The sequence below is a fragment of the Homo sapiens genome, chromosome 2, assembly GCF_000001405.40.
Source record: "Homo sapiens chromosome 2, GRCh38.p14 Primary Assembly".
Taxonomy (NCBI): domain Eukaryota; kingdom Metazoa; phylum Chordata; class Mammalia; order Primates; family Hominidae; genus Homo; species Homo sapiens.
Window position 1 is genome coordinate 144,952,384 of NC_000002.12, and position 18,699 is coordinate 144,971,082.

Here is an 18,699-nt window from a genome sequence, read left to right on the forward strand (position 1 = left end):
TACTATGGGACTGATAGACCATACCAGCTATACAAGCTAGCTCTATTCCAGAGATACTACATATACATATGTTACATGTATATATCACACACACACACACACACACACACACACACACACACACACACACACAGAGCATTCAATTCAGCAAGGAAAAGAAAAACAGTAAAAATATTGACCAGGACCACTTGGCTTCCATAGCTGGGGAGATTTTAGACACCGAGAAGAGGGACTGACAGTAAAATATGTTCACACTTGTGGAGGATATAGGTATTTTATGGCTAGTGTAATTAATTAGTAACTCTGCATATAATTTAACCATAGTGGTTTTTAACTTCTCTTCCAATAATTTGTTTTTTAAGGCTTTCCTCACCAATAAAATGAAATAAGATGCACCTACCTCCTAGGGTTGCTGTAAAAATAAATGAATTAAGAGCACACCTCTGGTGTCTAACAGCCGGGGTTCAAACCCTGGATCTGCCTCTTATTCTCTATCTTATTTGGGTCAAGTTACTGGGGGTTCAAATCCTGAATCTGCCTCTTATTCTCTATGTTATTTGGGTCAAATTACTGGCCCTCTGTGTTCTTGAGTTACATCTACTGTGAAATGAGGATAATGATGCTTCTTACTCACAGGTTTTAGTGAGGATTAAATTAATGGATATTTTCAGAGGGATTAGAACATTGCCTAGCTCTTAGTTTCAATGGATATTAGTTATTATCATTAAAGTTACCTGGGGGAACTTTTAAATAATACACACCTTAATTCTTTCTTATATCTCCTGAATTAGCCTCTCAGGAACCTCTAGTGTTTGTGAAGTTCCTCAGGAAATCTGAGGACAAGTGAGTTTGGAAATGACACTGAGGGATGGGGAAACAGGACTGCTGATGAAGCTGACCATCCTCAAGGTGAGCTGTCAATCATAACAGCAGTGGCTCTCATTTGAGCCCCACACTAGTATCATCTGGGAATTTTAAACATCTGGTTGCCCAGGCAGCACCCGGACCAATTAAATCAGAATAGTTGGAGGTGGCTCCCAGGCATCAGCATTTTAAAAACTATCCACGTGGTAGCTGTGTGTAAATAAGGTAGAACACCTCTGATCTGAAGTATGTTTAAATTCTACATCCTAACATTTTTTTTAAAGAAAAATGCTTCTAAGGTTTTAGATGATGGCAAATTGACATAAAAATAGCACATTAAGAAGAACATTGTGAAAAGGGTGCTTAACTGACCCAGTGTTATCTTTCCCTGCCCTTTTTTATATGGATGAATAAAGACAGATAGTAGTTAATTGCTCTTCAGCTAGACCAAGGTCAGTCTTTTGTACTGCAGTCTTAGAACTAGGTTAAACAGGAAGGTATTACTTGTATCACTGTACTTAACCTTGACTTGGGTCATTTAATGCAGTTTTCTAAACTTGCGCATCAGAATCACCTGGAGAGCAATTTAAAACAGATTTCTCAGCCTTGCCTTCGAGGATTTTGATTTGGTGAGTTTAAGATGGGATCCGGAAATCTGAGTCACTTGAAAACTTTTCAAGTAATCCTAATGGCATAATTATAATTTGCTATTTGCATCTAGTCAAGGTACTAATTGTGGCAAAACTGATGCTAATGTTAGTAATCAGAAAATATTGACATAATAAAGTAAAAACAATGGTTAATTGTTTCATTTCTGGCGTGTAATAAGCTAAATAGACTTGCCCAGTCCATGACTTACATAGAAGATGACTTTATCCTATAGCATTTGGTGCTTAGTAACCAGTGGCATTAAATATCATGAATGACGTATTAACAACAAAGATAGTCTTTTATTGAGCAATTTCTAGGCACCTTGATGGAGAATTAATCCTCCTAACAATCCTGTGGGATAAAAATTATTACTTCTGTCTTACAAATTAGGAAACAGAAGCCTCAAGTGGTTAAATAACTTAGTTACGTTCACACAACGGGTAAAAACAATGGGAGCTGAATTAGAAGCCAGGTCTATGCCACTTCAAATCTAAGCTCATACCATTAGCAACCCTCAAAATTCCAGTGAATGCTGCTTTTAGCAAGAATCAGTCGCAGACAAAAACACCTTGACCAAGTGCAAATGTCTTGATATGTGTTTATTTTAAGAAATGAAACGTCATTTTCCTATTATGTATGAACTCTGAGTGGTAAAAAAAAATAATTAAAACAATTTTTTTCTAAGTAGTTTGGTTTGAGAAGCTCTTTAGACTGATTCCCATAATTTCATGCATGTATAATGAATAGGATCATCACAGGAAACCAAGACAAACCTCTGTGGTGAAGATCTGACTTCTTTAATAAGGTGCTCCAAATGACTATTGTATAAGTCCTTGAGGAACAGTCATTTAAACCCTCAGGCCAGTTGGCATTAATCTTAGAGAACACAGAAGGAAAATATCTAAAAGACCCTTAACATGCCTGTAAACTTAAGACAACCTAGACCAACTTTGATGTACCAATGAAGTTCAAAGGGCAAAATGTTCTCCAAGTGACAGTGAGAAGGAATGGTATTGAAAGTTTTGTGATGTGATTTTTTTTTTCTTTTTACTTAATGTTTGTTTCTTTGGACACTTTGAGTCTAATTAGGCATAAATTTGGTTTGTGGCCCCGGGATTCACTCTTCCTGTGGTGCGTCAGATCCTTCTTCTTTGTGCCCCAAACAGAAACTTGCACATTGGCTGGTTGTGACACTCACTACTTTCTACCATCAGTGTTGGCCTGTAATTGTGCATTTTCTGTCTAGGCCTGGTCATTTTCATCTGTGTCTAGATTGGAAGCTGACATCTGGTTGGTTCTCAGTAAGTGTTTCTTAGAATAATTAATTGATAGAATTAGTGGAATGAGGAGCTTGGATGTATGAAACTGAGCCATTAGTTTAAAATATAATTATTTACTCAGCATAAAAGGAGTTATTTGAACCTTGCTTCCAATCACCTAGTAGCTCATGGAATTACTACAACCTATCATAACGCCTCTTTTTTTTTTTTTTCCTCAGAAGTGTATTCAAATGCTCTCAGGTGAATGAAATTATGGCTAGGCCTGAAAATACTTTCAGTCAAAAATATATATCTATTACTCTGGCTTTTGATAAGAAGTTAAAAACATACCAAAACAGAATACTGCAGTTGAAGTCACCGTAAACAGTTTAAGTAGGGAAATGCAGGATTTTGCATCAGAGCACAGCATTGCTACTTCATGGGCTAAAAATTGAAGAGCAATAGTGGCATATGATGTATTAAAAAAGATTTAAAAATTGTATTTTTTTCCACTAAATGGTATAAATTAAGGTAAGCTGTCAAACTGACAGTACAATAATGCTGTCTTCACAGTAGCACATACTGTACCACAATGAAAATTGTATCAGTTTCATAGAAAAATTAGAGATGAGATCTGAGGAAAAATAGCTCAAAATGCTATTCTTTGCAATTTAGAATCATCATTACTTGCTAGAATCCACTCCAAACATAACCACAAGAATAACCATAATAAATCATGATAATTTATATCACAGCTTATTTTGGGGAAGTAGAATCAGATACACTTCATTCTGCTCAAACTATAATTATTTTCATTAAACTATAAAATTGCTTACAGCAGATTTACTCTAAACACATAAAATCATATCCTTAACAATGAGCACAACTAGACCACAAGTGTTCAAAATAACTGAAGTCAAGTATAAAATAGCAGTCCTTGATTTATACTTTTTTAAATTACATATCTTTGTAGACACAATCAATGTACTTTTGTGGGTTTATAATATATTCCTTTTTATTTTGTTGAAACATCCGACAGGCTTATTCAGGCTCTATCCTGTTGATTAAAAGGTAGTGTCAAAAGAAACTTGTGAAAATGATGTCAGGTGCCTATTAACACAAACTCCCAAGTAGTTGGTGTCTGTCAAGAGTAAAGATTATTCCACAAATGAGGGATCTGGGAGAAAAGTTAATGGGTTTTGTGTTTTTTGAAATGGGAGGTGATAAGAAAGGTGGCTGAATAATCATAAAGAATAGAGGATACTTAAACTATTGATCTGCAATGAGTGATATATTTCACACTACGTGGGAAAAAAGGTAGGATACTGAAAGCAGTCCATTTGAAATTGTATACTTTCCAATATTTTTGCTATTACCAAACAAATGTTTAACAGATATCTCAATGTCTTTATTTTTTTGTTTACTTCTACCTTTGCCTATCCAAAAAATGTTTATCTTTGAATACTTGGTGCCACACTAGGATATCCAAGAATTTCATTTAAGGAATGTAGAACTGGAATCCATGTATTATTTCAACACTTCAGGGGTCTTCACAAAGCTTGTGACTATTGACAACACCAAACATGTATCTGTTTTCCTAGTTGAATATGGTTTTATTGTCTTAAATGCAGATATGAGATTGTTTACAAATATAACAAATTATTTATTTAAATATTTGGAACATGAAAGAAGATTTTAATCTTGTAACGGTTATAGGTTTTAGTGAGATTCTTACTAATACTTTGATTAGTTACCTGTGTATACATCCTCCAGAAATGTAGAGAACAAACTTTTAAAAAATTTTACTCAGATTTAATTATTTAGTTTGGCTGTATTTTAAAATTCATATTAATGTAGCAAATCTCCACTTATCTCGTTTCTATATAGATACTACCCAAATCCAAATCAGTGTAGCATTAGAAAAACCTATCATGATATAGTAATTAAGGAAATACTAGTCCAGTTTTTTTTTTTTTTAATTCAGGGCAAGAAGTGTCTCTCATATCCAAACACTGAACAAAAATCTTTTTTATTTTATTTATTTATTTATTTTTTGAGATGGAGTCTCGCACTGTCACCCAGGCTGGTGTGCAGTGGCATGGTCTCGGCTAACTGCAACCTCCGCCTCCCGGGTACAAGCAATTCTCCTGCCTCAGCTTCCTGAGTAGCTGGCATTACAGGTGCGTGCCACCACACCTGACTAATTTTTTGTATGTTTAGTAGAGACAGCGTTTCTCCATGTTGGCCAGGCTGGTCTCCAACTCCTGACCTCATGATCCACCCGCCTCAGCCTCCCAAAGTGCTGGGATTACAGGCGTGAGCCACTGTGTCTGGCCAAAAATCTTAAGTTTACTCCGATTGAATCAAGCAAGACACCTGCCCCCAGTAACAGGTCACTGGGAGCAGAGAAGTCTGCATCCTTGAATGGCTGAGATGGGTTCCAGTGACTTCTGAGCTCTACCTGTGGGAAGCAGGGAGAGTGGTTTCAGTTATACTACTGGGTTCAGGCTAATCAGGACCCACCGCTAGAATTGAGGTTTGGTATGCTGGCATCCAAATTGCATAACTGGAAAATTCTGAATCTTAGAAAACAAGACAGTTGTTGTTGTTTGATAATCTTAACACAGAGGCTATAAGCAAAAGCCTTTAATTATAACAGGAAAGCTAATCTACTCATTTAAAGTGTTCAAAATTACCTGTGGTGTGTTTTTTGACTTGAGAAGAATGTAATAATTGATGGCAAGAAAAATGATGTTTCTTGGAGAAATGCTTATGTCAGTTGGCTATTTTTGCTGAGAATCCTACTCATTGCTTTGTACTTTGATATATATATTGATTCTCAATTTAAAAGAGTATCAGGCTTATTAGAATAATTTTAAACCATTCATGTTAAATTGGTTTGTTCCTTGGTCACAATGTGTCCCTTATTTGAAAGCTACGATTTCCAATGCATTCTTTCTAAGGAATGGACATCAAATTCAGAAAAAAAAAAAACTCTGTTAGTGCAACTCTAATGGATGCATAAAAATTAACATTAATGTAGCTTAAATATCAAGGGCACAGCAATTTTCTTCACTAATGGTGGTGATGAAATCTATGCAAGTTAAGTATGAATAAGAAACAGTAGTACATTTGTATACATTTGGTAAATTTTGGGGAGAATTTGATGATATATCTAGCCTTTTTTGACAGATATTGGCTATTTTGACATTTTAGATTATATTTTACATAATATAATAATTCCAGTTTATTTTATATTATTTAATATAATTTAATTTGGATTTGTATGACTTTAACGTGACTCATTGTGTATAATTCTATCTTGAAAGATACAAAAGGTCAGTCTGGATCATGAGTGACTTTCCAATCATACCCATGAAATCAGTATCAGATTATAATGCTTAACATGTCTCAGATTAGCCAGATAAATTGATTTTCAGAAAGAACAATTGTGATATTTGAGTATTCTGATTACAACTCTCACTTAAAAATTTAGAGATTTTTTAAAAAGGCATTACTACTCTATCCCTGTATGTGAGCTTCATTTGCTGGAGTGTAAAATTCAGAGAAATAACTATTTGAATAAAATTTTGCTTTCTGCCCCTTCCCCCACTTATGTTATTCTCACTCTTAATAGAATAAAGGGAACAGTGCTGCATGGATATGACACAGGTATTAAATTCATCTGAGTCAGATGTTTTCAGGTATTTGGGTAAAATAGAATGTCTCAGTCTAAAATTTTGCCAGAAATGCATTATCATAAGAGTACAATAAATTCCCACTATAGATAGCAATGATATTGTAGGCCCTAGGAGTGACTATAGAGTGACTATAGAGACTAAGTCAATCAGTAGTATCTTTTTATGTAGTCACCTGGAGATGTACATGAGTAAAACTCTTTCTGCAAGTGACAGAGTGGAATCCATTTACTCTCATAACCAAAAAGTCCGGAGTACATTTGGCTTCAAGTTTTATTTTGATCCGGGTGTTCAAACCAATTTCTAGGACCTACTATCTCTTAATCCCTTACTTAGCCCTTGCTAGTCTCTGTGTTATGATTTCATGTACAGGTTCCATTTTGCAGCAAGCTGGTGCTTCCAGCCATAATCTCACTACCTCACAATTCCGTGTTCTGTGAAAACAGCATCTCTTGTCTGAAAGTGCTTACAAGAGTACCAAGGCTGATTCACTCTGGTTGGACAAGCTTTAGTCATGTGTCCATCTCTGAACCAGTCACTGTGGCCATCGAATGAGTGCGTCAGTCACTTAGTGCTTGGTCGCATGCCCATCACATGGTCCTAGCAAGAGCTTCACTCAGATCACATCAAGCTCGGTGTCCCTAAGAGAAAACAGAGCATGTTGCTGGAAGAAAAAAAAGGAAATGCTTAGGAAGGGAATGTTTGCTATGGGAGTCTATTTAGGCATTATGGGATGTTAACTCAAGATGTTTTGGGAACTGTTGCCTTAGTATGGAAAGCTTATGACTCACTCCCCACAAAATAGTCTAATTATTTTATATCTCCAGTAAACTTTTTATTGGATATGGTTTTACAAAATTTACTTAGCCATCTTACTTAGCCCTGCAATAACTGACTTTTGACTGGTTCCAAAACAGAAATTGTCTTCATAGGAAAAGGATTTGCTCTTGTTGTGAATATTTCAAAGAGTGCTCTAGATATGCTCATGTAAATTCCAGAACCTCAGGTCTAAAAATATTCTGGAAAAATACCCGATCATTGGCATAAATGTGTAATATCCTAAGATGACTGATTTGAAAGAGTGTACACTCATTTGGGTGTATAAATTCTGGTTTATTTGTGCACAAAACATCCCTCTACAGGAAGGTAATTATGATCGTAAGCTTTGGAGCTTGACTACCTGGGCTTGAATCTCAGGTAGTCACCATGCTACCTTGAAAAAGTTATTTAAGTCTTTTCTGTCTCAGAAACTTAATATGTAAAATTATAATGATGGTTGTAATAGTACCTATTTCATTGGATTGAGATGCAAGTGTATTAATATACATTTCCTAATAAATGATAGTTCTTATTAATATTATTTAAAAATGCATCTAAAATTACTATTTTATATGTGAGGAAATAAGTACACTATAAGTCAGCTTGAGAGAACTATCAAGCCTATGGTTAATCAAAAGTACGAAATATGATATAGGTACAGGTAGCACGGAAACAAATGGAGAGCCAGGGAAACTAGGTTTTGACCCTGATTTTTCCCCAAGTAATGATAATCATGGGCATATATACATCTGTGGGCCTTTTATAGCAATGAAATTAAATAATTCTATAGGTAAACATGAAATCCACAATCAAAGAGTAATCAGAATTGGCTTGGAGTTAATTATGTCTTGCTTAATTAATACTTCAAAACTATGTTGCAAATATATGTCTACTAGGATAGCAATATATGTCTACTGGGATAGTAGACATATATTTGCAACACAGTTTCGAAGTATATTAGAGGACAAGATTAGCGGAGAAAAAAGAAAATAATAAGAGGCCTTATTTGGGTGAGGGTAAGTAGAGGACTGCAGCAGTTGAAGCATAGAGGTAGAGCTTATCAAACAATTTGGAAGGACTATAATTTGCTTTGGTTAGTGTGTAGGAGCACATGGGTGAAATAATAATAGTTAAATACACAGAGGCAAGAAGCAGTCATTTAATACACAGTATTTAGGGCTAAGCTTAAGTTTTTTAAGCATTAAGAAGTTATCTTAAATTCCTGAGTAGGGAAGCATGTGGTATTTGAGAAAATGACAAACATTTTGAAACAAGGCCTAGTGCAGCAAGTTACACATAGTAGTATTTCAAGAAATGTGTGTTGCTTTGAAATTCACTGACAGCTTAAAAATAGACACTTCTGGTTGGAGCACTAAGCTACATGGTCCTCATGGTGTTCTCTTTATAAACCATTTTATTTTAATCATACGAATCTGCAAAAGTTGTCCATCTCCCATACTTGAACTGAATCCTAGGAGGCACATGTACTTCTCTTAAAGTGTTATCAACTTATTCTCTTTTAGAAGATGTTGTCTTCTATTGGAGAAGGACAGACTTAGACACAATTTAATTACCAATAGGCCCTAGCATAATAAGATAGCTCAGTAAATATCCAGGGAATTAAGGGGACCCTTTATTATACTATGCTCTCATCTATAGGATTCACAAGAAATGAGGTTACTTCTAGCTGAACAGAGGTTTTCCCTGGATATTAACATTTTTCTTTCAGAATCCTTTTTGTTTGTTTTCTTTTAATCTCTTCTCAAGGAAGTAGGTGCCCATTACTTATTCCAATGCAAATTCCTCTATTCGATTTGTTCCCGTCTATAACAAGTGAGATCTATGAACTTAAGAGTCCAACTTCTGCTGTGCCTCTCCACCAGTCTCTTAAAGAAAGATCACCTTCCTTAAAGAAAACCAACATTTCTATCAGACAGTAATTGATATTAAGACATGATGGTAATTCCAGTTAAGACGTTAATTGTATAAGATGTATAACTGAAAATTCAGGCAAATTGCAGCATGTTTTTAAGTAGTCAGTAGAATATAAAAGAGGAAATCTAATTCCTGTGAGCAGCACAGGACAGTAGGTAGTGGAGAGAAGTTTAAGAAACACAGAAAATACTAACTGTAGTGCACTACTTCGCTCTATAGTGTAAAATATTTATATACTCGTATTAGTAAGGAGGTAGGTGATGCTATAGTAACAAATACACCCCAAATTTCAGAGGGTGGAAAGAAGTTTTCTTTCTCACTCACACTGAATATGATTTCCAAAGTTGATGGAGCCTCAGCTCTGTGTGGTCCTCACTCTGGTGGCCCAGATAAGAGAGAACAGCCATTCTCTGAAACAGTCTTGTTAGGGAGAAATATGGAGAACACATTACTTATCTTGCTCTGGCTCTTAAAGCTTCCACATGTTACTTCCATTCTCATTTTGTAATTCAAAGAAATTGACATGGCCATGTCAATTCCAAGGTGGGAGAGAAATGCAACTTTACTTTCTGCCTAGAAAGGCACTGCAAGTATTTGGTGAAAAACAACAATGTAACAAGTTCATAAAAAAGCAAAATAATTTTCAAAACTTTTTTAAAATTACTTTTCAGCTTTAAGAATCGACTTATAAGTAAAGCATGGAAGACAATTTTGGAATGTAAATGTTAGCATTGCCAAAAATGCTAAATCAAAAAACCTTTGTTTCTATCCCATAGCCTCTTAAATAAGATTCCATTTCCATAGAAACTGGCACCTCCCTACAGCCTTTTTGTCACTACCCTCCTATACAAATATTATCGTAAAATGGTGCTGAATGGAACTTCTCTCAACGCTTCAGAATTTTGACTGAAGATCCAAAGCTGAGGGGAACAGGCAACAGGTGGCTTATATTCCATAAAAAGACATGCTCCCCCACCTCATCCAGCTGATGTAAGCAGAAAACTAGAACATATTTGAATGCATTGAATGAGTGAGCTGCAGGCATAGAGGGAGAGTGTTTTGCATTCTTTCTTCTCTCTCCTTTCAAGCCTACCAAGAAGGACTGTCAGAGAATTATTCATATACATTGGAGTATGTATTGAAAAGGAAGACTGGCATCTTCCTATACTGAGGAAATCTTACTGAGCCATAGGAGTTCATTAGCCCCATGCTGGTCCAGACAGCAGAGTAGAAGAAGACAGGACAGCTCTAGGGAGAGTTTCACATATATCTCAAGGAGTTCGTTTGGAGTTATGCAAACATGGGGACTGGTCCCTCTTCTCTCTGAGTGAGAAATAGCTGGAGCATCTGCGACACAGAGCAAGATGACACAGTAGTAGTGGCACAGCCTACAACATCCACATTTTGTATGACAAAGATATGTGAGTGTTTTGTGGATCAAATGGAAGCCTTGGAAGCCTCCCGTGTCATGGGAACTGCACCCCTAAGAAACTGTTGAGTAGTCAGCCAGGGGTGGGAGATGAGAGAGAGGAGAGGTCAGCTGTAGAAGGCACCATCCATCTCAGAAAGCCTCCGGGAGATGGGGGCCTCTGAGGAGCCCATAAAAAGTGCAGAATCAGCATTTGGATGACTGCCACACAGACTTTCACCCCACCCCAGCCCCTTTGAGAGCCCAAAAATGCTGAGACCCAAGGGAAACCCAGAATAGCAGAAAGAAAGGCAGAGAGGGAGTGACAGGGCAAAAGAAAGAAAAAGGAATAAGTAAAGCAAAGCATGCCTCACTTCCACATTGCAGGACCCAAGCCACAAGCCAAGGTTCAGATGGAAAAAGAGGAGATACTTTAATTTTCATGTGAAATTAATGTTTTGTTCTAGACTAGATTTTAAATGCTGAGGATAAAAAAATCTGTGGAATTTGTCTTCAAAGAACAGGGAAAGGAAGAATTGCAGAGTACATTAGATGAGCCAATTAATGCAACAAAATAAAGAATGTTCACGTTGGGACCATTCCTAAATACATTTGTCTATTTCTCATGTCCTTCTTTCTCCTACAATGTTTGAAGAATATGGATCTGGGCAGAGGGGCTGAGCAACATGGGCCTGACATGAATGGCACTGAGCTGACCTTCAGGCAAGGAGCCCAGACTCCAGGTGATCTAATAGACTATTTTCGTGGATGGAACCAAAATTGAAAGCCTGGCAAGCAGTCTAATGGAAGCGTCAATCCAAAGGAGACAGAGACAGAGTCTAACTGGAGGGCACAGGATAAGAAATGGGAACATTGATCTGGCAGAAATTCAGAGAGAAGACATGAGATAGGTCATGGAGATATTTCTGGTTATTGGAGCGCTGTTTCAGGCACATTTTACACTGAGTCCAACTGGCTTTACTGTTCTGAACCATGTTAGATACCACCTAGAAAACCTTCTTTCTATTTCTGGCATTGAAATTCTACCCATTCTGCTAGGATACCTATAAAGCCACCATCTTCACAAGATATGCTTACCTGCCCTTTCTGTACTACCTAGCTGGAAATCATCTCCCTGCCCCTAGATTCCAATATAATGGTGATATTTTCTCTTACATATAATTGTGTCCCTATGTCCACCAATACTGGATGTGAAAATCAGGCAAGATATCAGTTATTTATACACAGGACATATTTAGGAAGTATTTGTTAGATGAATGTTGCTGTGAAAATAAATTCACAACTTAAAATAAATTTGAGTCTTAATAAGGTTTGGCTGTGTCCCCACTAAAATCTTATCTTGAATTGTAGTTCCCATAATCCCCATGTGTCAAGGGCAGGACTAGGTGGAGATAACTGAATCATTGTGGTGGTTATCTCCATGCTGTTCTCATGATAGTGAGTGAGTTCTCAGGGGATCTGATGGATTTATAAAGGGCTTTTCCCCTTTTGCTCATTCTTCTCCTTCCTGCTGCCATGTGAAGAAAGACATGTTTGCTTCCCCTTCTGGGATGTTTTTAAGTTTCCTGAACCTGCCCCAGCCAGGCTGAACTGTGAGTCAATTAAATCTCTTTCCTTTACAAATTACCCAGTCTCAGTATGTCTTTATTAGCAGCGTGAGAACAGACAAATTCAGTAAATTGGTACCAGATAGTGGGGTGCTGCTGTAAAGATACCCTAGAGTGTGGAAGCAACTTTGGAACTGGGAAATAGGCAGAAGTTGAAACAGCTTGGAAGGCTCAGAAGAAGATAGGAAACGTGGGAAAGTTTGAAACTTCCTAGAGACTTGGAGGGTTCAGAGACAGGAAGATGTAAGAAAATTTGGAACTTCCCAAAGACTTGTTAAATGGCTTTGACCAAAATGCTAATAGTGATAGGGACAATAAAGTCCAGGCTGAGGTGGCCTCAGATGGAGAAAAGGAACTTTTTGGGAACCGGAATAAAGGTCACTCTTGCTATACAGAGACTGGTGGCATTTTGCCCCTGCCCTAGAGATATGTGGAACTTTGTACTTTAGAGAGATGATTTAGGTTACCTGGTAGAAGACATTTCTAAGTGGAAAAGCATTCAAGAGGAAGCAGAGCATAAAAGTTTGGAAAATTTGCAGCCTGATCATGTGATAGAAAAGAAATTCACATTTTCTGGGAGAAATTCAAGCCTGCTGCAGCAATTTGCATAAGTAACAAGGAGCCAAATGTTAATCACAAAGACAATGAGGGGAGTGTCTCCAGGGCACGTCAGAGGCTTTCACGGCAGCCCCTCCCATCACAGGCCTGGAGGCCCAGGAAGCAAAAATGGTTTTCTGAGCTGGGCTGAGGGCCCCCCTGCTCTACATAGCCTTTGGAGCATCCCAGCTGCTTCAGCTCCAGCTGTGGCTAAAAGGGGCCAATATACAGCTCAGGCCATTGCTTCAGAGAGAACAAGCCCCAAGTCTTGGCGGCTTTCATGTGGTATTGAAGTTAAGAATTGATGTTTGGAAACCTTCGCCTAGATTTTAGAGGATGTATGGAAATGTCTGGATGTCCAGACAGAAGTATGCTTTAGGGGCAGACCCTTCATGGATAACCTCTGCTAGGGCAGTGCAGAAGGGAAATGTGGGGACAGACCTCCACACAGAGCCCCCCTGGGACACTGCTTAGAGAAGCTGTGAGAAGAGGGCCACTGTCCTCCAGACCCCAGAATGGTAGATCCACCGATAGTTTGCTCCATGCACCTGGGAAAGCCATACACACTCAATGCCAGCCCACAAAAGCAGCTGGGACGGGGTCTGTACCCTGAAAAGCCACAGCCACAGGGGCTGAGCTGGCCAATGCTGTGGGTGCCCACTTCTTACAGCAACATAACCTGGATGTGAGACATGGAGTCAAGGAATATTATTTTGCAGCTTTAAGATTACTGCCTTGTTGCATTTCTTGCATGGGGCCTGTAGCCTCCCTTTTTTGGCCAATTTCTCCCATTTAAAACAGGTGTATTTACCCCGTGCCTGTACTCCCATTGTATCTAGGATGTAACCAACTTGCTTTTGATTTTACAGGCTCATAGGCAAAAGGGACTTGCCTTGTCTTAGATGAGACTTTGGACTTGGACTTTGAGTTAATGCTGGAATGAATTAAGACTTTGGAGGACGTTGGAAAGGCATGATTATGTTTTGAAATGTGAGGACATGAGATTTGGGAGGGGCCGGGGTGGAATGATATGGTTAGCCTTTGTGTCCCCACCCAAATCTCAACTTGAATTGTAGTTCCCATAATCCCCATGTGTCATGGATGAGACCTGGTGGGAGGTAATTGAGTCATGTGGGTGGTTACCTCCATGCTGTTCTCATGATAGTGAGTGAGTTCTTAGGCAATCTGATGGTTTTATAAGGGGCTTTTCCCCCTTTTACTCATTCTTCTCCTTCCTGCTACCATGTGAAGAAAGACATGTTTGCTTCCCCTTCTGCCATAATTGTAAGTTTTCTGAGGCCTTCCCAGCCATGCTGGACTGTGAGTCAATTAAATCCCTTTCCTTTATAAATTACTCAGTCTCAGTTATGTCTTTGTTAGCAGCAAAAGAAAGGACTAATACAAGCCTGATTTTTAAGTTGCAAAGGAAGTTGCAGATGAAGTCAACATCAATAAGTGGTATTTTTTAAGCAATCACATTTACATATTGATGTGATAAGCAGCATGCCAAATCAATTAAATAAATTGATCTCTACTTTCTGAGACAAACTTACAACCTTATGATTTTGTGACATCTACAAAAGTCTTGACTAGAAAGACGTGGAATTCTGTGAAGCCAAAAAAATAGTTTACAAGAGGAGCAGAATATTTGATGTGTCCAACAGTTAGGGGAAGATAAGATGATGGGTAGTAATAAAATAATTGATGGGATTATACATAAAAAATTATCATTTTTTCTTTTGGAACTACCACAAAACAGATAGTATTGAACTTGCAGGTAGAAGACATACTAGTCTTTTTCATGTTCTAATCTTATGAGTGTTGAATTTAGGCAAGTCCGTAACTTCTTTGAGTTTTCTTTTTTTCCTGGAAAATGAAAGTATTGAACTAGATGAGTGGGCTTCAATTATTTTTAAAATCAGTAAACATTTTTCCCAAATGGTTGTAGAGAATTGCAATGTAAAAAAGTATTTGGATTCTGTATTTTGCAATGGAAATTTTCTTACCTGCAGAGAGGAAAATATACTTCTCAATGAATTTTCTCAGTTAATGATTTTTTTTTTTTTTTAAAGAAGAAGATTAAGGCAAGTGTAATTCCTGGTCTAAAGATGTAGAAACCAAGGCATGGAAAGGTTCAGGGTATAAGCTGGCCCATTCACCATCCTGGATTTGTAAATAACTATACTACCTTACATTCCAGGGTTCATTTTGCCTGCTGAAACTTCCTGAGGATTTTATAAACTTTTCTTTTCCTTTTGGCTATATATTTATATAATGCTGAAACCTTAGAGACTTAGTGTTTAAAAATGGAAACATATAAGCCTTATGAGTATATATGCATTCTCAGGGATTCATATAAGCTATAAGAACAGCCAACAACTGTGTGTAGATCTACAATGTAGAGGAGAAAATGAGCAAATACTATTTAAAGTTAAGACACTGGGGTTCATTAGAGAAACTGAAGTGACCTCCTAGCTTACTCTCAAGAACTTTTGTACTGGAATGTAATAAGATTTTTACACAGGGCCTTTCATGCTCCAAAATGTTTGTTCCACTGTAAAACACCTAGTTATTCAAAAGAAAGGGCAAATAATGTGAGTAAAAGTCTTATTTGAAAAGATGGCCCATGCCTCCATTTGCTCAGGCTCTCAAGGAGAAGAATTTTAGAATCTTTAGAGCAGAAGAATGAACATGGACATTAATGCACTTCTCCCAAAGCAACCATTTGGAAAATCCTCAGTTTTGATTGACTACCACCAAAGACCATGCTTCTTCCTTCATGTTATTTTTCAAACACGACAGATCCCAGCTTTATGAAACCAAACACAGAAGAATAATACTTGTTCTCAAGCCAATTGGAGGAGGGTGTTCAAGTCATCACAAGTATTATCATAAACAGAAAAATAACACCATTTGCAACATCATTTGATCTTTGTGCCAAGGGTGAAATTGATGTCATATGCTCACCCTGATGGATCACTGAAAGTAAGTTTGCACAAAACATGCCTAAAAGCAATGGTATCTTCTTCTACTTATATTTTCCCTTATGACAAGTTGAGCAGCCCTCGTAAACATGCCTGTCTCCTTGAGGATTGAGAATAGAAGTCAGGAAGCTAAAAAATTAGTTTCATCTAGACATATTTTGTTCTTCCTTGAAAAACAAAGAGAGGAACAAACATAAACAAAACCTTTCAGAGATACGAATATTTTCAGTAGGCAAAAGCTTCTCTCATTCTCCCTGTATTAGTCTGTTTTCATGCTGCTGATAAAGACATACCTGAGACTGGACAATTTACAAAAGAAAGAGGTTTAATGGACTTACAGTTCCTCATAGCTGAGGAGGCTTCACAATCATGGTGTAAGGCAAGCAGGAGCAAGTCACATCTTACATGGAGCAGCAGGGAAAGAGACAGGATGAGTGCCAAGTGAAAGGGGTTTCCCCCTATAAAACCATCAGATCTCCTGAGACTTATTCGCTACCTACCACTCGAACATTATGGGAGAAACTGCCCCCATGATTCAATTATCTCTCATTGGATCCCTCCCACAACACATGGGAATTATGGGAGTAGAATTCGAGATTTGGTGGGGACATAGAGCCAAACCGTTTCATTTTGCCCCGGCCCCTTCCAAATCTAATTTCCTCACATTTCAAAACACAGTCATGCCTTCTCAATAGTCTCCCAAAGTCTTAACTCATTTTAGCATTATCTCAAAAGTCCACAGTTCAAAGTCTCATATGAGACAAGGCAAGTCCCTTTTGCCTATGAGCCTGTAAAAACAAAAGCAAGTTAGTTACTTCCTAGATATAATGGGGGTACGGACTTTGGATAAATACAGCCATTCCAAATGGGAGAAATTACCCAAAACAAAGGGGCTACAGGGCCCCATGCAAGTCCAAAATCCAGCAGGGCAGTCAAATCTTAAAGCTCCAAAATGATCTCCTTTGACTCCATGTCTCACATCCGGGACATGCTGATGCAAGACGTAGGTTCCCATGGTCTTGGGCAGCTCGGCTCCTGTGGCTTTGCAGGGTACAGCTTCCTCCCAGCTGCTTTCACAGGCTGGCATTGAGTGTCCATGGCTTTTTCAGGCATACAGTGCAAGCAGTTAGTGGATCTACCATTCTGGGGTAAGGAAGATGGTGGCCCTCTTGTCACAGCTCCACTAGGTGGTGCCCCAGTAGGGACTCTGTGTGGGAGCTCCAAGCCCACATTTCCCTTCTGCACTCCTCTATCAGAGGTTCTCCATGAGGGCCCCACCCCTGCAGCAAACATCTGCTTGGGCATCCAGGTGTTTCCATACAACCTCTGAAATCTAGGTGGAGGTTCCCAAACCCCAGTTGTTGACTTCTGTGCACACACAGGCTCAACACCACATGGAAGCTGCCAAGGCTTGGGGCTTGTACCTTCTGAAGCCACAGCCTGAGCTCTATGTTGACCCCCTTCAGCCACAGCTGGAGCGACTGGGACACAGGACACCAAGTCCCTAGGCTGCAAACAGCACAGGGACCCTGGGCCTGGCCCATGAAACCATTTGTTCCTCCTAGGGCTCTGGGCCTATGATGAGAGGGGCTGCCATGATGGCCTCTGACATGCCCTGGAGACATTTTCCCCATTGTCTTGGGGATTAACATTTGGCTCCTTGTTACTTATGCAAATTTCTGCAGCCAGTTGAATTTCTCCTCAGAAAATTGGATTTTCTTTTCTATCACATTGTCAGGCTGCAAATTTTCCAAACTTTTATGCTCTTCTTCTCTTATAAAACTGAATGCCTTTAACAGCACCCAAGTCACTCCTTGAATACTTTGCTGCTTAGAAATTTCTTCTGCCAGATACCCTAAATCATCTCTCTCAGGTTCAAAATTCCACAAATCTCTAGGGCAGGGGCAAAATGTCACCAGTTTCTTTGCTGAAACATAACAAGAGTCACCTTTGCTCCAGTTCCCAGCAAGTTCCTCATCTCCATCTGAGACCACCTCAGCCTGGACCTCATTGTCCATATTGCTGTCAGCATTTTTGGGCAAAGCCATTCAATAAGTCTCTAGGAAGTTCCAAACTTTCCCATATTTTCCTGTCTTCTTCTGAGCCCTCCAAACTGTTCCAACCCCTGCCTGCTACCTAGTTCCAAAGTTGCTTCCACATTTTCGAGTATCTTTTCAGCAGTGCCCTACTCTACTGGTACCAATTTGCTATATTAGTCCATTTTCATGCTGCTGATAAAGACATACTTGAGACTGGGAATAAAAGTAGGTTTAATGGACTTAAAGTTTCACATGGCTAGGGAGGCATCATGATCATGGCAGAAGGCAAGGAGGAGCAAGTCATGTCTTACATGGATGGCAGCAGGCAAAGAGAGAGAATGAGTGCCAAGTGAAAGGGGTGTCCTCTAATAAAACCATCAGATCTCGTGAGACTTACTCACTACCATGAGAACAGTATGGGAGAAACTGCTCCCATTATTCCATTATCTCCCACCAGGACCCTCCCACAACACATGGAAATTATGGGAGTATAATTCAAGATGAGATTTGGGTGGGGACACAGAGCCAAACCATATCACTCCAATCTCATGTGTCTCTCCCAACATCTACGTGAACTTATTTCATGTAGATGCTGGGAAAATATATTATGAGATGGGTCCTCAGAGGTTGGTCAGATCCAATACTGGAAAATGCTTACCGTTCTCAATCTGGGTGACTGTGCATTCATTATTGTCTTAGTGAAACTTCTCTACTTTTGGCTTGTTGGTTTGTTGTCCTTTAATACAGAGTTTAGTACCAAATTAACATACATACTTTTCCAGGTTATACATCTCCCCTTTAACTTGCATCTCATCAG

At 38.6% G+C, this 18,699-nt stretch overlaps 1 long non-coding RNA gene across 1 annotated transcript in view; it reads left to right on the forward strand.

The window, feature by feature from the left end:
- TEX41 (testis expressed 41) overlaps positions 1-18,699 on the forward strand; it is a 408,763-nt gene that overhangs the window by 284,417 nt on the left and 105,647 nt on the right. The window lies entirely within an intron of this gene.